Source organism: Homo sapiens, chromosome 11 (genome assembly GCF_000001405.40).
Source record: "Homo sapiens chromosome 11, GRCh38.p14 Primary Assembly".
In the NCBI taxonomy this organism is placed as follows: Eukaryota; Metazoa; Chordata; class Mammalia; order Primates; family Hominidae; genus Homo; species Homo sapiens.
Genome location: NC_000011.10, coordinates 64,377,455 through 64,392,032, shown reverse-complemented (window position 1 = coordinate 64,392,032; position 14,578 = coordinate 64,377,455). Strand labels below are relative to the sequence as shown.

General features: G+C 51.2%; 1 long non-coding RNA gene across 1 annotated transcript, besides 1 other annotated feature; it reads right to left on the bottom strand.

The window, feature by feature from the left end:
* Nucleotides 1-1,719: 1,719 nt before the first annotated feature.
* On the bottom strand, nucleotides 1,720-4,926 carry LOC124902688 (uncharacterized). The gene is made up of 2 exons (XR_007062718.1): nucleotides 4,668-4,926; nucleotides 1,720-1,907 (listed from the first exon to the last, which is right to left on the bottom strand). It is a non-coding gene; the product is annotated as an uncharacterized LOC124902688 (long non-coding RNA).
* Nucleotides 12,221-12,838: an enhancer, noted in NCBI's record as "H3K4me1 hESC enhancer chr11:64146667-64147284 (GRCh37/hg19 assembly coordinates)". NCBI's record gives its function as "activates a minimal SCP1, AML or CMV promoter by ChIP-STARR-seq in naive H9 embryonic stem cells {active_cell/tissue: H9 hESC(naive)}" and the evidence as "EXISTENCE:reporter gene assay evidence [ECO:0000049][PMID:30033119]".

The following is a 14,578-nucleotide window of genomic DNA, read 5'->3' as shown; positions in this document are numbered from 1 at the left end:
AGCCTGGCCTGTTCCCAAGACAATGTCCAGGCTCAGAGCAAGCCAGATCCAGAACAGTTTCCAAACTACATTCCAGGGAACCCCAGTGCTCCACAGGCATTGCTGGGTGTGCCATGGGGAGCCTTGAATTAAACACATATAACAATGCAGGACTCCTCAGAGCATTTAATGCGCTGAGGCCCTTGATGACTTTCCAAGAGGCAGCACAGTACACGGCTGATGACAACATTTTTGCTGAGCATCTATCATAAACTTCCAACCTCCTTGAGCTCCAAGGAACATAGCTTGCAAATGCTGCTGTGGGCAGCACCCCACTACCTGCCACTGAGAAACTGAGGTCCCATCTCTTAAGTCTCACTCCCACCCTCTGCTGGGGGCAGTGGGGAGCCAACCTGTCCTCCCCTTGCGGGGCTCTGCACACATTGCACACGTCTCCCTCTGGGGAAAGGGGTGCCAAGGAACTTCTGGGCCAGCTGAGCCAAAATACAGACTTGGAGTGTGAACTGGCCAAGTCACTGCCTCCTCCCTGAGGGTCCCTCCCTTTGGCACCCGCCACCTTATCTCCAGAGAGGCCACCGTGGCACAGAGCCCCAGGCTCCACAGGTGGCTACTGACCGTCACCCACCTCTGGGCCAAGTCCACTCTCTTTTTGTTTTCTTTTCTTTTCTTTTTTTTTTTTTTTTTTTTTTTTTTTGAGACAGAGTCTTGCTCTGCCCCCCAGGCTGGAGTGCAGTGGTGCAATCGCAGCTCACCGCAACCTCCACCCACTGGGCTCATGTGGTTTTCCTGCCTCAGCCTCCCAAGTAGCTGGGACTACAGGCGCGGGCCACCACTAAATCTTTGTATTTTTTTAGTAGAGATGGGGTTTCACCATGTTGGCCAGGCTGCTCTCGAACTCCTGACCTCAATTCATCCACCTGCCTCGGCCTCCCTAAATGTTGGGATTACAGGTGTGAGCCACCACACCCGGCCCCAAGTCCACTCTCATTCTTGCCCTGCCCCCTGTGGGCCACAGGACAGCCCTCTGTAGTAACCACTGAAGTCTGGTAAATGAACAACCTCAGCCCCTTGGAAGTCCCAAGAGATCCCAGCAGCTTCCCCTGCCTTGTCACCGCACCTGAAGAATGGTGGTGTGTGGTGGAAGGAGTACAGCCCTGCTCTGGGCCATCGGCTACCTGCATGTCCCCTCTGCTGGAGCCACAGGCCCCTCTGTTGGGCCAGTGTCCACATCCCACACCACAGCCAGGCCAGGCTTCTTTAGAAGCTCCCCATCACTGAGCCAACTTCCTCTGCCAGTTACACATATCACCCAGATGGGGTGATTTCTTACTGCAGAACACTTTGTTAATTGACACACCATTGAACTGAGCTGATGACTCCCGTGACTTGGTATCCTTAGTCCCTGATATGTTTTGGCTGTGTCCCCACCCAAATCTCATCTTGAATTGTAGTTTCCATAATCCCCACATGTAGTGGGAGGGACCTGGTGGGAGGTAATTGAATCATGGTGGTGGTTACCCCCATGCTATTCTCATAATAGTGAGTGAGTTCTCATGAGATTTGATGGTTCTATAAGGGGCTTTCCATCTTTGCTCATTCTTCTCTCTCCTGCTGCCCTGTGAAGAAGGACGTGTTTGCTTTCCCTTCTCTCATTATTGTAAGTTTCCTGAGGCCTCCCCAGCTCTGGGAACTGTGAGTCAATTAAACCTTTTTCCTTTGTAAATTACAGAGTCTCAGGTATGTCTTTATTAACAGTATGAGAACAGACTAATACAGTACCAATATCTTTTCCTGATTCACTCATGGCACCTGAAGATGGGAAGAAGTAGCACAGACACAGCTGTGATTTCCGGCCCCTCTATGAGCTGCATGCTGACCCTTGGACATGAAGATTCTCTCTCTTGGCTCTGGAAGGTGCCAAGAAATAAAATGATAAATGGAGATGCAGCCTGGCTAAAGGACAGTTCAGCAGTAGGGTGGACTTCAGGGTTGGTTCGATCCAGCAGCTCAGCTGTGTCCTCAGGACTTGACCTCTTCCCTCTCTCCTCTGTCATCCATAGCCTCAGCTGGACCCTGAGGTATGGTGTCCTTGGGGTGACAGGCTGGCTGCCAGCTGCCATTAGGGCTAGGTGCTTCCTCATCTGTGACCAGCAGAAATGGGTGAGCATCTATCCCAGCATCCCGTGCATTCCAGCAACTGACCTAGAGCAAGCTTGGAGGGACCAGAAAGCACAAGTGGGAGGAACAGGAGCTGGGTAAGCTACACACACTACACAAAATCACAGATCAAAGCCACTTGGTCCTGGGCCAGGCTCAGAGTCCATGCTCAAATATCAGCTACCACTTTTATTCTATGTAAGTCAATATTTGGGCTAATAATGAGCCCATCTTCCCTTGAAGCTAACAGTCTAAGGGATGGTGAGATGACATAAAAAGACACCTGGAGTCTCCACCAATGACTGGCCTCATCATCACATGCAAGACCTCCCCGTACCTTCTCCATCTGCAAAATGAGGGTTAAAATATCTCCTCACCAAACTCACAGGAGAAATCATGCTTTATAAATGCAGAGATGTTGGCCATGAGGCTTCTGATCCTTGCTACAGGCTTTCAGATCTTTATTCTGAGCATTGGCAACAACACGTTTCTGAGAACATCTCCTTTGGCAAATGGTAGGTCAGGCAGAGCTGCTTCAACAGAAGATGTTTTTGCTTTCAAAAAAAAAAAATTGTGTATGCCTTTTAATCCAAATGGCTGAATTGCTGATTCAATCAGCAAACATGGAACAGACTGAGAAAGTGCAGCGTGAGCTCCGAGACAGCAAAGAGGGCCATGAACTTCAAGGATGTTTATGGAGCGATTGCTGAAACCAGCTTTCTGAAGAGGTAAGTCTCCACCAGGCAACAGGGAGGCACGATGCGGGAGTGCCGTGGGATTTACGATGTTCATTAAGTCCATCAGCTTCCAACTCCCTCTGCAACCTGCATGTCCAGCTCGGCTACCCGGGGCACAAACAAGCTCTCCAGCTAAATTACCAAGATTCTTAGTGCCCGGCTGCACACCCACAGAGCACAGCCCACCTCAGCACCTGCCACCCCTGGGGATTCCAGGGCATGTTGAGTGTCTCCCACATGCTCAGGTCCAAGCCCACACCTGGCTTCCACCTGGCCCCATCCTCTCTGCATCCCCTGCTTCTGCTGGCCTCCAGTGTTCCCAGGCTGCCAGTCCTAGAGAGTCAAGGTTAGGCTAGGGTTGGGGCAGAAACACACGACTTTGTGCTGTCCCATAGCTGCACTGTTCTTTGTCACCCAGGCCAGAAGGGACACTGCCTGAGCCCAGAAGTTTGCTACCACTCCCAGAAACAGATCCCCAGGCCCCAGCCCAGCCGTCACTTCGCAGCATCCACCTCCACCATTCTTGCTGCCCCTTCCCCTCCCAGGGCACCTCTGCACCAAACGACTTCATTCTCCTCCTCCAGTTCTGAGAGATAAAACCAGCGGGCATGCCCGTTCCTGCAAACAGGACCAAGCCAACACAAGGCCCCCAGGCCCACAAAAAGCAGGCTCTGTTCCCAGTACAGATGCCTCAGGGACACCCTGCTATATCCATGTCAAACTTCCCTTTATTCATGAATAGAGATGGGAAGTGAGGCATCAGGTGTGCTCAAAAGCTTTGCTATCGGTTAAGAATTGCACCTGGCTACAAGCTACAGAGAATCAAAATAACAGTGGCTATAATAAGGGAGAGGTTAAATTTTGCTCTCATGTGAAAAGAAGTCTAGAGTTAGCCAGCCCAGGGTTGATACAGCAGGTCCACAGCCATCAGTGACCCAGGCTCATTCTATCTTGCTCTCTGCCATCATTAACATGAGGCTCCCATCCTTGGGGCTACCTCATGATCCCAAAATGGCTACTGCAGCTCCAGACATCACATCCACATTTCAGGCAGCAGAGAGTAGGAAGGGGCAAGGCAAAAGGACATGCCTCTCAGCTTAGCCTCCTTTGGAGAGCTTTCCCAGAAACCATACTCAATAACCTTTGCTTACATCTTATAGGCCTATTTCTGAAAGGCTAGGAAATGTGATATTATAAAAAGCCCATTGACACCCAACACTATAGCTTTTGTGTTGCTAAGGAAGCTAAGGAAGACAGGAGTATAGAAAATACCAGCCTTGGCCATACTTTTTTTTTTTTTTTTTTTTTTTTTGAGACAGAGTCTCGCTCTTCCGCCCAGGCTGGAGTGCAGTGGCACGATCTCGGCTCATTGCAACCTCCACCTCCCAAGTTCAAGTGATTCTCCTGCCTCAGCCTCCAGAGTAGCTGGGATTACAGGCATGCACCACTATGCCTGGCTAATTTTTGTATTTTTGGTAGAGACAGGATTACACATGTTAACCAGGCTGGTATGGAACACCTGGCCTCAAGCGATCCGCCCACCTTGGCCTCCCAAAATGCCAGGATTACAGGCATAAGCCACTGCACCTGGCCAGCCATACTTTCTACAGAGCTAATAAAACTAAGAGGATAGGGGCCCAAACTAATCTCCCTCCTGGATGCTTGTGGAGAATAATACAACAGTGATTATGACATCAAAAAAGAGGAGGCAAAGTGTCAGATGTTCTCAGCCCATTCTACACCTGGGATGCAGCACTGTTTTGTGGTGCTTACCTTAACAAATCTGCTATCATATTCCGCTGCTGACAGCCGGTGGTCTACTGGGACCTCAGCGTCTTCATCTCTTGAGTGTTCACACAATTGATTCCTCCTCACCCATCTTTCATTTGTGTTCTTTGCTTTTCTCCTTGAAACAGTTTAATTTCATGGGCTGCATGATGATGTTTTGGACAGTGTGGGACCATATATTCCATGGTGGTCCTATAGGATTATAATGGAGGCTGGGTGTGGTGGCTCACACCTATAGTCCTGGCACTTTGGGAAGCTGAGGTGGCCAGATCACTTCAGGCCAGGAGTTCGATACCAGCCTGGCTAACATGGTTGGGACTTGGGAGGCCAAAGCAGGAGGATTGCTTGAAGCGAGGAGTTTGACTACAGCCTGGGCAACATAGCAAGAGGTTGTCTGTATGCTTTTATTTTTTGAAAGAAAGGAAGGAAGGAAGGAAGGAAGGAAGGAAGGGAGGGAGGGAGGGAGGGAGGGAGGGAGGGAGGGAGGGAGGGAAAGAAAGAAAGAAAGAAAGAAAAGAAAAATAACAAAAATAAAAGATTATAAGGGAGCTGAAAAATTTTTCTCATCTAGTGATGTCATTCATAGCCATCATATCATCATAGTGCAATGTGCCACCTTTTCTATGATTAGATACATTTAGATACGCAAATACCATTCTATTCCAATTGCCTCTGCTACTCAGCACTTCCTGCCATACAGGCTTGTGGTGTGGGAGCAATCAGCTGTACCATCTAGCCTAGCTGTGTTGCGGGCTACCCATCCAGGTTTGTGTAAGTGCACTCTGATGTTCACACAGTGATGAAATCACCTAACAATGCATTTCTCAGAACGTGTCCCCATGGCTAAGTGACTCATGGCTGTATTCTGGAATCTTGTCATTCCAGACCACAGTCTTCACATTGAGGTACCAAGTTGTGGATCAGAATGGAAAGCTAGGCTATGATGAGGGACAGTGCGCTGTCACATGACTGACATGATTTATTTCACAAAGACAGCAAATGGAGCTGCCATGCCACCTCCAGCAAAGAGAGCCCGGGGCTGGCGTCTATGGAGCTCTAGGCTCTGCAGAGTCGGAGCGAGAACCAGATCCTTGGGGCAAAGAGAGCTAAAACGGATTGCAGAGGAAAGCGAACCACCACACATCTGCTAGAAAGAAATATCTCTTAGGCAGGAGATAACCTTGAGAGGCAGCATAACCGCTCAACCACTGTGGTTAAGGGCTTAGTTCTCAAGTAGGGAGGCCCAGGCTCTAGGGCCAATGCCTGTGGATGCCTTTGTGTGACCTTGGACAATTTACTTTCTCTCTCCAAGCCTCATTTTCTTCATCCACAACATGGAAACAATTGCAGATGATGATAATGTAGAACCTGTTCATGAAAGGAAATTATAGACAGTGCTGGGCCCGGTGCCTGGCTCCTGGTACAGAGAAGGATTCAGTAATAACATTGGCCATGACTATTAACAACAGCAGCAGCAGGGATCCTATGTGTGACCTTCTACCTGTGTGGCACAGGGCCTGGCACATCATGAGGCTCAATAAATGGGCTCAACGTCATCGCTACTCTTGTTGTTATTAAAGGAAATAGCCAGAAAGTGCTTCCTCTTTCCACAGGCAACCACGGACACTTTCTCTGGACTTGACTCACTCAGGCAAGAAGAACCTTCCGGGCTGAGCTTCCAAGCCCCAGCCAGGGGAGATGCAGGGCACGGAAGACCCCGCTGAGGCAGATTGGAGAGCTCGGAGCTGCAGAGTCTGTTTGGCATCTGCAACTCTCTCGGTGGAGAAACGCCTGCCCCCGCTAAGCAGTCAGTGCCTGCCTGGTCTCACTGGCTCCCAGGCAGCTTCTCCCCACCTCCCCTCTGTGTCCAGTGTGCTCCCGGCAGCCTGCCTTATGACAGGTCTACAGGGACATCTGTTGGTGAGCAGGCCCTGCCAGATACCTGTTGACCCCCGCTGGGCAGGAAAAATAACACAGAGAGGCTCTGAGGACCTGTGAATGGTGTGGTGGGAGTGGGGGACATAGCAGACACCCCTTACTCTGTAGAATACCAGCTTTCCACTAAAGTGGGTGATGGCAGGGAATTCTGGCAGAGAATACTGGTTTCTGAGAGCTCCTAGTATAAAATTGGATCTGTGTCCCTATGGAAAATTCCACATTACAGCAAGTGTGGCCCAGGGAGGGAGAAAGCCTCAGCTGGGCATCACGGGAATTGGTTTTGCCAGTCGGCAGCCCTGTGGCTCTGGCTAAGTCCCTTCCCCTCTGTGCCTCGGTCTCCCCATTAGGAAAGTTCAGGAGGTTCATGAGATGAGATCTGTGGCTCCATAGCTTGAATATACACCATGGAAGGTTGCTTTTTGGTTGTTTTTGAGACAGAGTCTTGCTCTGCCACCCAGGCTGAAGTGCAGTGGTACAATCATAGTGCACTGTAACTTTGAACTCCTGGCCTCAAGCAATCCTCCTGCCTCAGCCTCCCAAAGTACTGGGATTACAGGAATGAGTCACTGCACATGACCCTGGGAAGCTTTTTAAAAAGCAGATTCCCAGACTGCACTCCCTGAAATTCTGATTCAGCCGGTTACAGGGGGCCCAGAAACCTGCCTGAGGCTCCTCCCAGAGGACCCCACTCCCTGGCTGCCTCTCAACCTGCAGTTTCAGGCATCCCAGGGTGTCCCACTGTCTCCCAGGCCCCAGGGAGAATCAGAAAGAGTGGGGGCACCGCAGGGAGCAGGCAGGAGGGAGGGGTCACAGAGGCCCTGGCCTGGTGACTGCTGTCTTCAAACCGCCCAGAGCAAACCCACAGAGCTGGCCCGCGCCCCGCCCACCTTCGGTCCAGTGTTATGGGGGAAGCTGTCAGACGCCAGCATCAGTGTGAGGTGCACTTATGGAAACTGCCCTCCCTGACTTTCCCGCTGAAAAGTCCTTAGCTCTGAGGTTTTCAGGAATCTGAAAGGAAAGGCTTCTTTCCATGAAAATGTGCTGAAAGACCACTTCACACCTGCACCTACGCGCCGTCCTGTGGGAGCCAGCCTGAGTCGGCCTGGCTTGAATGGCAACAACCTCCATGCCTCACTCATCCCAGGGGCCCTCCTGCCCTCTGCCTAGGAGGTGTTCCAAGTGCTTGGCATGCATTACTTGACCTTATCTTTGCAATGCCACGAGGCGGCCAACATTATTGCCTCATTTCGTGGATAAGGTTACTAAGGCACAGAGAGGGTCGGTAATTTGCCCAAGGTCACTTAGCTAGGAATTGATGGAGATGGGTTTCACACTCCTTCAGGGAAACTCCTGAAGCTAAGCTTTGAGACCCGCTTCATCTTCTAGCTTAGAGATATAGTCACTACTATTTTCAGCAGAGCCCTTTCCAAACAGAATCTTATATTTGACCCCAGCATAAGAAACACATCAAAGCAAAGCCACTCTGGTTGAAGCGGAGGGACTATCCAGCCATCCAGCCTCCCCTTACCCTGCTCATGGAGACCTCCTCAGAGCACCAGGGTTCTGCAGAACTGAATCTAAGAGTCAATAAAGAAGCCATGGCTCAGAGAGGGAGTGTGCCTTGCCCAAGGCCACACAGCCTGCAGGTGGCAGAGCTGTTGTGACACATGCAGCATCCAGAGAAACACGGGATGTGCAGGGCAGCCTGAGAAAGGGGCCCTGCACACCTGGCCAGCCCACCCTGAGCACCTAGATGGGGAGAGGAGAGCAGTGATGGTCTGGGTTGACCCCAGGCAGGGGGCTTAACTGGGGTTGCTAGGGAATGGCTGAATCTACAAGTATATTCACTTGTTCACTCAACAAACATCGCCAGAGTACCTACTATGTGCCAGGGATGATGTGGCACCAAGGATACAATGGTGAATGATGAGGACAGTCTCGTCCCTCCCCGCCATGCTCATATCCCAGGCAGAGAGACTGATAATTAAACAATGACAACAGGCCAGGTGTGGTAGCTTATGCCTGTAATCCCAGCACTTTGGGAGCCCGAGGTGGGTGGATCACCTGAGGTTAGGAGTTCGAGACCAGCCTGGCCAACATGGTGAAACCCCATCTCTACTAAAAACACAAAAATTAGCTGGGCGTGGTGGTGGACACCTGTAGTCCCAGCTACCTGGGAGACTGAGGCAGAAGAATCGCTTGAACCTGGGAGGCGGAGGTTGCCATGAGCTGAGATCATGCCACTGCACTCCCGCCTGGGCGTCAGAGCGAGACCTTGTCTCCAAAAAAAGAAAAGACAATGACAGCAACACACAGGGACGGCTGCTTCGGTGGGAACTGCTGCCTACTGACGGCACAAAGAGTCGGGGCTTGTAGGCTAGTGGAGGGGTCAGGAGGGGCTGCTCTGAGAAATAAAGCCATCCGAGCATTGACGGATGACATGGCATCAGCCTGGCCAAGAGAAGGGGAAAGCGTGCCCCACAGAGGGAACAGCAAGTGCAAAGGATGAGCACAATGCATTTGAGGACCTGGAAGAGGTTTGATTTGGCCAGAGCAGAGCCCATGGCAGGAGATGGTGAGAAAGGGGACTGGAAAGGTAACAGGGGCCAGGCTGCATGAGTCATGGAAAGAGGCGTGGGCTTTATCCTACAGAAGTTGAAAGATTAGATATGTGTTGCTCTCATTGTTTTAACTCCCCTGGCTTCTATATGGAGGACCGTATGGAGGAGGGGTGGGAGATGCTGGGACATCGTTCGTAGGGAATCGTGGTGTCCAGAGAAGACATGATGGTGATTTGATGTGATGATCACGGGAAGGAGAAGAAGGGACGGTCTGCCAACATCCATCCCTTTCTCCACCTCCTCTGCATCGGGGGAGGGAGGTGAGGAGGGTAGGTGACAAGTCTGGCCAATGACACGGTCAGCAGTGATGTACATCACTTCCAGAATATCCCCACACTCTCCTTCACCCCCATCTCCCTGGGATGGTAATGCTCCCAGGGTAAGCCTGGGAGCCTCGGGCCAAGTCCCTAGAGCCTGGGTCCAAGAGCCCCTGGTTCCCTTTGCCCCACTGGGCTGCAGCAGGAGGGACCTACCACGCCTCTCTGCCCTGAGACAAAGACCAGTCCCCTCTCCAGTAAAAATCCTTATCTCTGGAGAAGGAAGCAGGATGAATGGGGAGGAATCTACAACCACTCCCACATTAATAATGTTCATGCATGCGTACATGCCTGATCGTTCTTTGAGCTCTTCATCTGTTTTTTTTTTTCTTTTTTCTCTATTTCCCCCTTTTCCTTAAACCACGGCCCATTCAAACAGGCAGTACTTGCCTTAGGCGAGGCAGGTGTTAGGTAAAAACACCTGTGGGTGCCGGGCACGGTGGCTCATGCCTGTCATCCCAGCACTTTGGGAGACCGAGGCGAGCGGATCACGAGGTCAGGAGATAGAGACCATCCTGGCCAACATGGTGAAACCTCGTCTCTACTAAAATACAAAAAGTTAGCCCGACATGGTGGTGTGCACCTGTAGTCCCAGCTATTCGGGAGGCTGAGGCAGGGGAATCGCTTGAACCCGGGAGGCAGAGGTCACAGTAAGCCGAGATCATGCCACTGCACTCCAGCCTGGCAACAGAGTGAGACACAGTAAAAAACAAACAAAAAAAAAAAACAAAAAAACTAAACAAACAAACAAAAAACACCGATGGGTCTTCTTAACTTTTGTCCTCCAAAATCCTTTGTCTTGGAGAAAAAAGGAGAGCCAGCCTTGGGCATCCTGAGAGCAGAGATTCCTGCCTCTACTCACAGCAGCCTGCCAAGAGAAAGCCTAGGCCCCAGGGAGGAACCGTGCTGGGGCCTCTCAAAAGGGGGCCCACTAGTGGCTCACCCAGGGTCTCCTGCCCTGAGCGCGCCATGGAAGGATCTTGTGGGCTTTAAGGACTGGAGTGTGGACGTGTCAGAAGTTCCTGTGTGCACCCATGATGGGGGCCCTCCTGGCCCCTACTTGCTGCTCTGGTCCCTCAGAGGTCTCTGCCGCTGTGACAGGACCCTGAGCAGGGTAGGAAGTTCACCAGGAAAATTGGAAGCTACTTTTTCTCTGCCAGTTCAGCCAAGGTCTTGATGTCAGAAACACTGCTGAGTGGTTAAAAACAAGTGGTGGGAGGCGGTGGCTTACACCTGCAATCCCAGCACTTTGGGAGGCCGAAGCGGGCAGATCACTTGAGGTCAGGAGTTTGAGACCAGCCTGGCCAACATAGTGAAAGCTCGTCTCTACTAAAAATACAAAAATTAGCTGGGTGTGGTGGTGCACACTTGTAATTCCAGCTACTTGAGAGGCTGAGGCAGGAGGATCACTTGAACCCAGGAGGCGGAGGTTACAGTGAGCTGAGATTGTGCCACTGCACTCCAGCCTAGGCAACAGAGTAAGACTCCATCTCAAAAAAAAAAAAAAAAGTGATTTTTCTTGCACACCTGAGTCAGTGCCCTGAGCTTCTTACACTTTACACAACAGTTATTAGGGATACCCTCCCCCAGTGACATCTGAGGGCAGCTGCGGAGGGCAGAGTCTTCCCCACAGCAGAGCCGGAGCACCCCTTCTGGGAAGGCTCAGCTTTGGGGAGGAAGGGCTTCCCTTTCCAAGCAGGCCAGGGACTCCCCACACACATCCCAGGCTGCGTCTGCCCTGGAGATGAAGTCACAAGCCAGCCTCAGGGTTACCTCCGGGCTCCAGTCCCCCCAGCCTAGTCCTGCGGTGCTTCTCCCCACAGCCCTTCTTTCCCCACTCACAGGCAAAGCAAGATCCCTGGAGATTCCAGTTCCCGCCTGGCCCTGGTTCTGTCACCGCTCCCCTGACAGCCCCTACATGCCCACAGCGTCAACCAGCACATCACTTCACGGCCAGCGGCCGCCCCGTGCCTGCCCGCGGCTCCCCTCTGCAGCCTCCAGGCCGGCCCCACCCAGTGCGGAGAGTCAGGCCTTCCTGGCCGGGTCTGAATCCCGCATCCCCCGGCTACAATACAGTCCCAGTAGGCAACAGGGTCCCCGTGGAGGGGAATCAACTGAAGAACGAAGTGTTTACTTCAGAGCTTCTACCACGGCGCTGTGTGCTTCCCTCAGAGAGCGACACACTCACACACACTCTCACACTCACGCTCACACACTCACACCCACATACACACACACGCTCACACCCGCACACGTTCACACGCTCACACCCACACACACGTTCAAACCCACACACTCACACGCGTTCACACCCACACACGTCCACACGCTCACACCCACACTCACACGCTCACACCCACGCGTTGACATGCTCACACACACACCCACACACACACGCTCACACCCACACACATGCTCACACATGTGCACTCACACTCAAACTGACACAGCCACACTGACACACACTAACACACATACATACACTCAACACATTGACACATTTACACACATACATACACTGACACACACTGACACATTCTTACACACATTCACACACTCATGCACACACACTGTCACATGCTTACAATCACAACATACTCAGGCTTTGTTCACACTCACACTTATATGTCCACACTGTCACACATGTTCACACATACACTCAAATCACACAAAACACACAGGCTTTGTTCACATACATTCATACACATTCACACTTACACATGCAAACACAATCCTCACAGCACACACCTGCATACACACCCACACACTTGTGCTTACACACACCCACACTCATCCACATTCTCACACTCACGTGCTCACATACACACTCCCATACACCCACACACTCGTGCACTCATGAGTTCGCACTCACATGCTCCCTAGCATCCTCATATTCACTCACACGTCTTCACACGCTCACATAGACACACAGGTGCTCACACACAATCTCACACTGACACACTTATTTACTCACATACGCACACATTCACATACACAAGAGTGTGCTCCCACGCCCATCCTGGCCGCTCCCAGGCAGCTACTGACACACGCCAGGTCGGTGGCGATTCACACTCCGTGCTGAGAGGTATTCAGAGGGTGGGGCGCCATCTGGTCCTCACTTTTCGTGGGGGCGGGGGTAGTGTTCAGAACACTTGGCTCTGGCTGATGCCGGAAGGGAAAGGCCGGTGGCCCAGGGAAGGGGGACCGGGAGCGAGGGAAGAGCATCGCTCTCTCTTTCCTGGACATGGGTCCCTTCCTGAGCAAGCCTGAACTGGCCTCAATTTTCCTGGGTTCTCTTAATAATTTTTTGGTAAACTGCCTTTTGTGGGGGAATCCCAGCGCGCCACGCACTTTGCCAAGCGTTTGGCCGTGCACCCGTCGGCAATTCCAGTGGCTGTTGTTCCATCCGCACTTCACTCTAGAGGCCACGGAGACTCAAGCCCAAGTGGTTTTGGTCACGACTGCACAGCTGGGAGAAGAGCCCTGGTATGAAGCCACTCGGCGGCTCAGTTCATGGTTCTGCAAAGCTTCCCCGACGCCCAGCTCTCCTGCCCTCAAGCATGCCCACTCCCTGGGGACCCTTCAGCACATCCCTGGAATCACTCTCTCCCTCCCCCATGCAGACTGTGTCCCCAGCCCATTCCCGCAGAGACAAAGGTCAGATCCACCACTTCTGTCCCTCGTCCCCTACTCATGGTCCACAACACCCTCCACCACCATCACGGGCCCAGCGGGCGACTGCAGGGCAGGAAAGGGAGAGCCTCCGCTCCTGCATCAGCCTCCAGGAGCTCCGCCAAGAAAAATGAGGGCAAGGACACACTCCGCTGGCGAGGCCTGCTATTTCATTTTAAAGGAGACAGTGCTTCCTGGATCTTGCTCGTGCTGCTGCAAGTCATATAAAATGATAGGATCTTTCTGAAGGGCAGTGTGATCACATATATCAAAGACCTTTAAAACGTGCATGCAGCGGCACATCCTTTAGCCTATTAACTTCACTTCTAGGAAACGTATCCTAAGGAAATATTTGGACAGGTGAGCAAAGACGTAGGTACAAGGATGTTCACTGCAGCACTGTTTAAAATAGCAAGGAGCTGTAGCCAAAAATAGAAACAATCTAAATAAATCATTGCATACCCATATAATGAAGCACCCTACAGCTACAAAGAATAATTGTAAAATATAGTCATTGACATAGAAAGATATTCACAATCTATTTTTGACTTTAGACAGGCTATAATAACCTATTTACATTTTGATGCCATTTTAACTAAAAATCTGTATCAATAAAGAAAATTCTAGGCCGGGCATGGTGGCTCACACCTGTAATCCCAAAACTTTGGGAGTCCGAGGTGGGAGGCTTGCTTGAGCCCAGGAGTTCGAGACCAGCCTGGACAACATAGTGAGACTCCATCTCTACAAAAAACAACAACAAAATCAAAAAATGAGGTGTGAGAATTGCTTCAGCCCAGGAGGTTGAAGCTGCAATGAACTATGATCATGTCACTGCACTCCCGCCTGGGTGACAGAGTGAGACCCTGCCTCAAAAAGAAAAAAAACAAAGAAAAACTTAGAAGTGAATGCATCAGACCAGGCGAAGTGGCTCATGCCTGTAAGTGGCACTTTGGGAGGCCAACACGGGTGGATCACCTGAGGTCAGGAGTTCGAGACCAGCCTGGCCAACGTGGTAAAACCCCGTCTCTACTAATAATACAAAAATTAGCCTGGTGGGATGTTGCGCACCTGTAATCCCAGCTACCTGGGAGGCTGAGACAGGAGAATCACTCGAACTTAGGAGTGGGAGGTTGCAGTGAGCTGAGATACCGCCACTGTACTCCAGCCTGGGTGTCACAGCAAGAATCTGTCTCAAAAAAAAAAAAAAAAAAAAAGAATTGAATGCATCAAAATATTAACTAACACAGTTTATCTATGGAGAGTAATGCCACGAGTGATTTTTTGAAATCTCCTTTGCATTTACTGATTTTTTCTTTTTTTTTTTTTTTGAGACGGAGTCTCGCTCTGT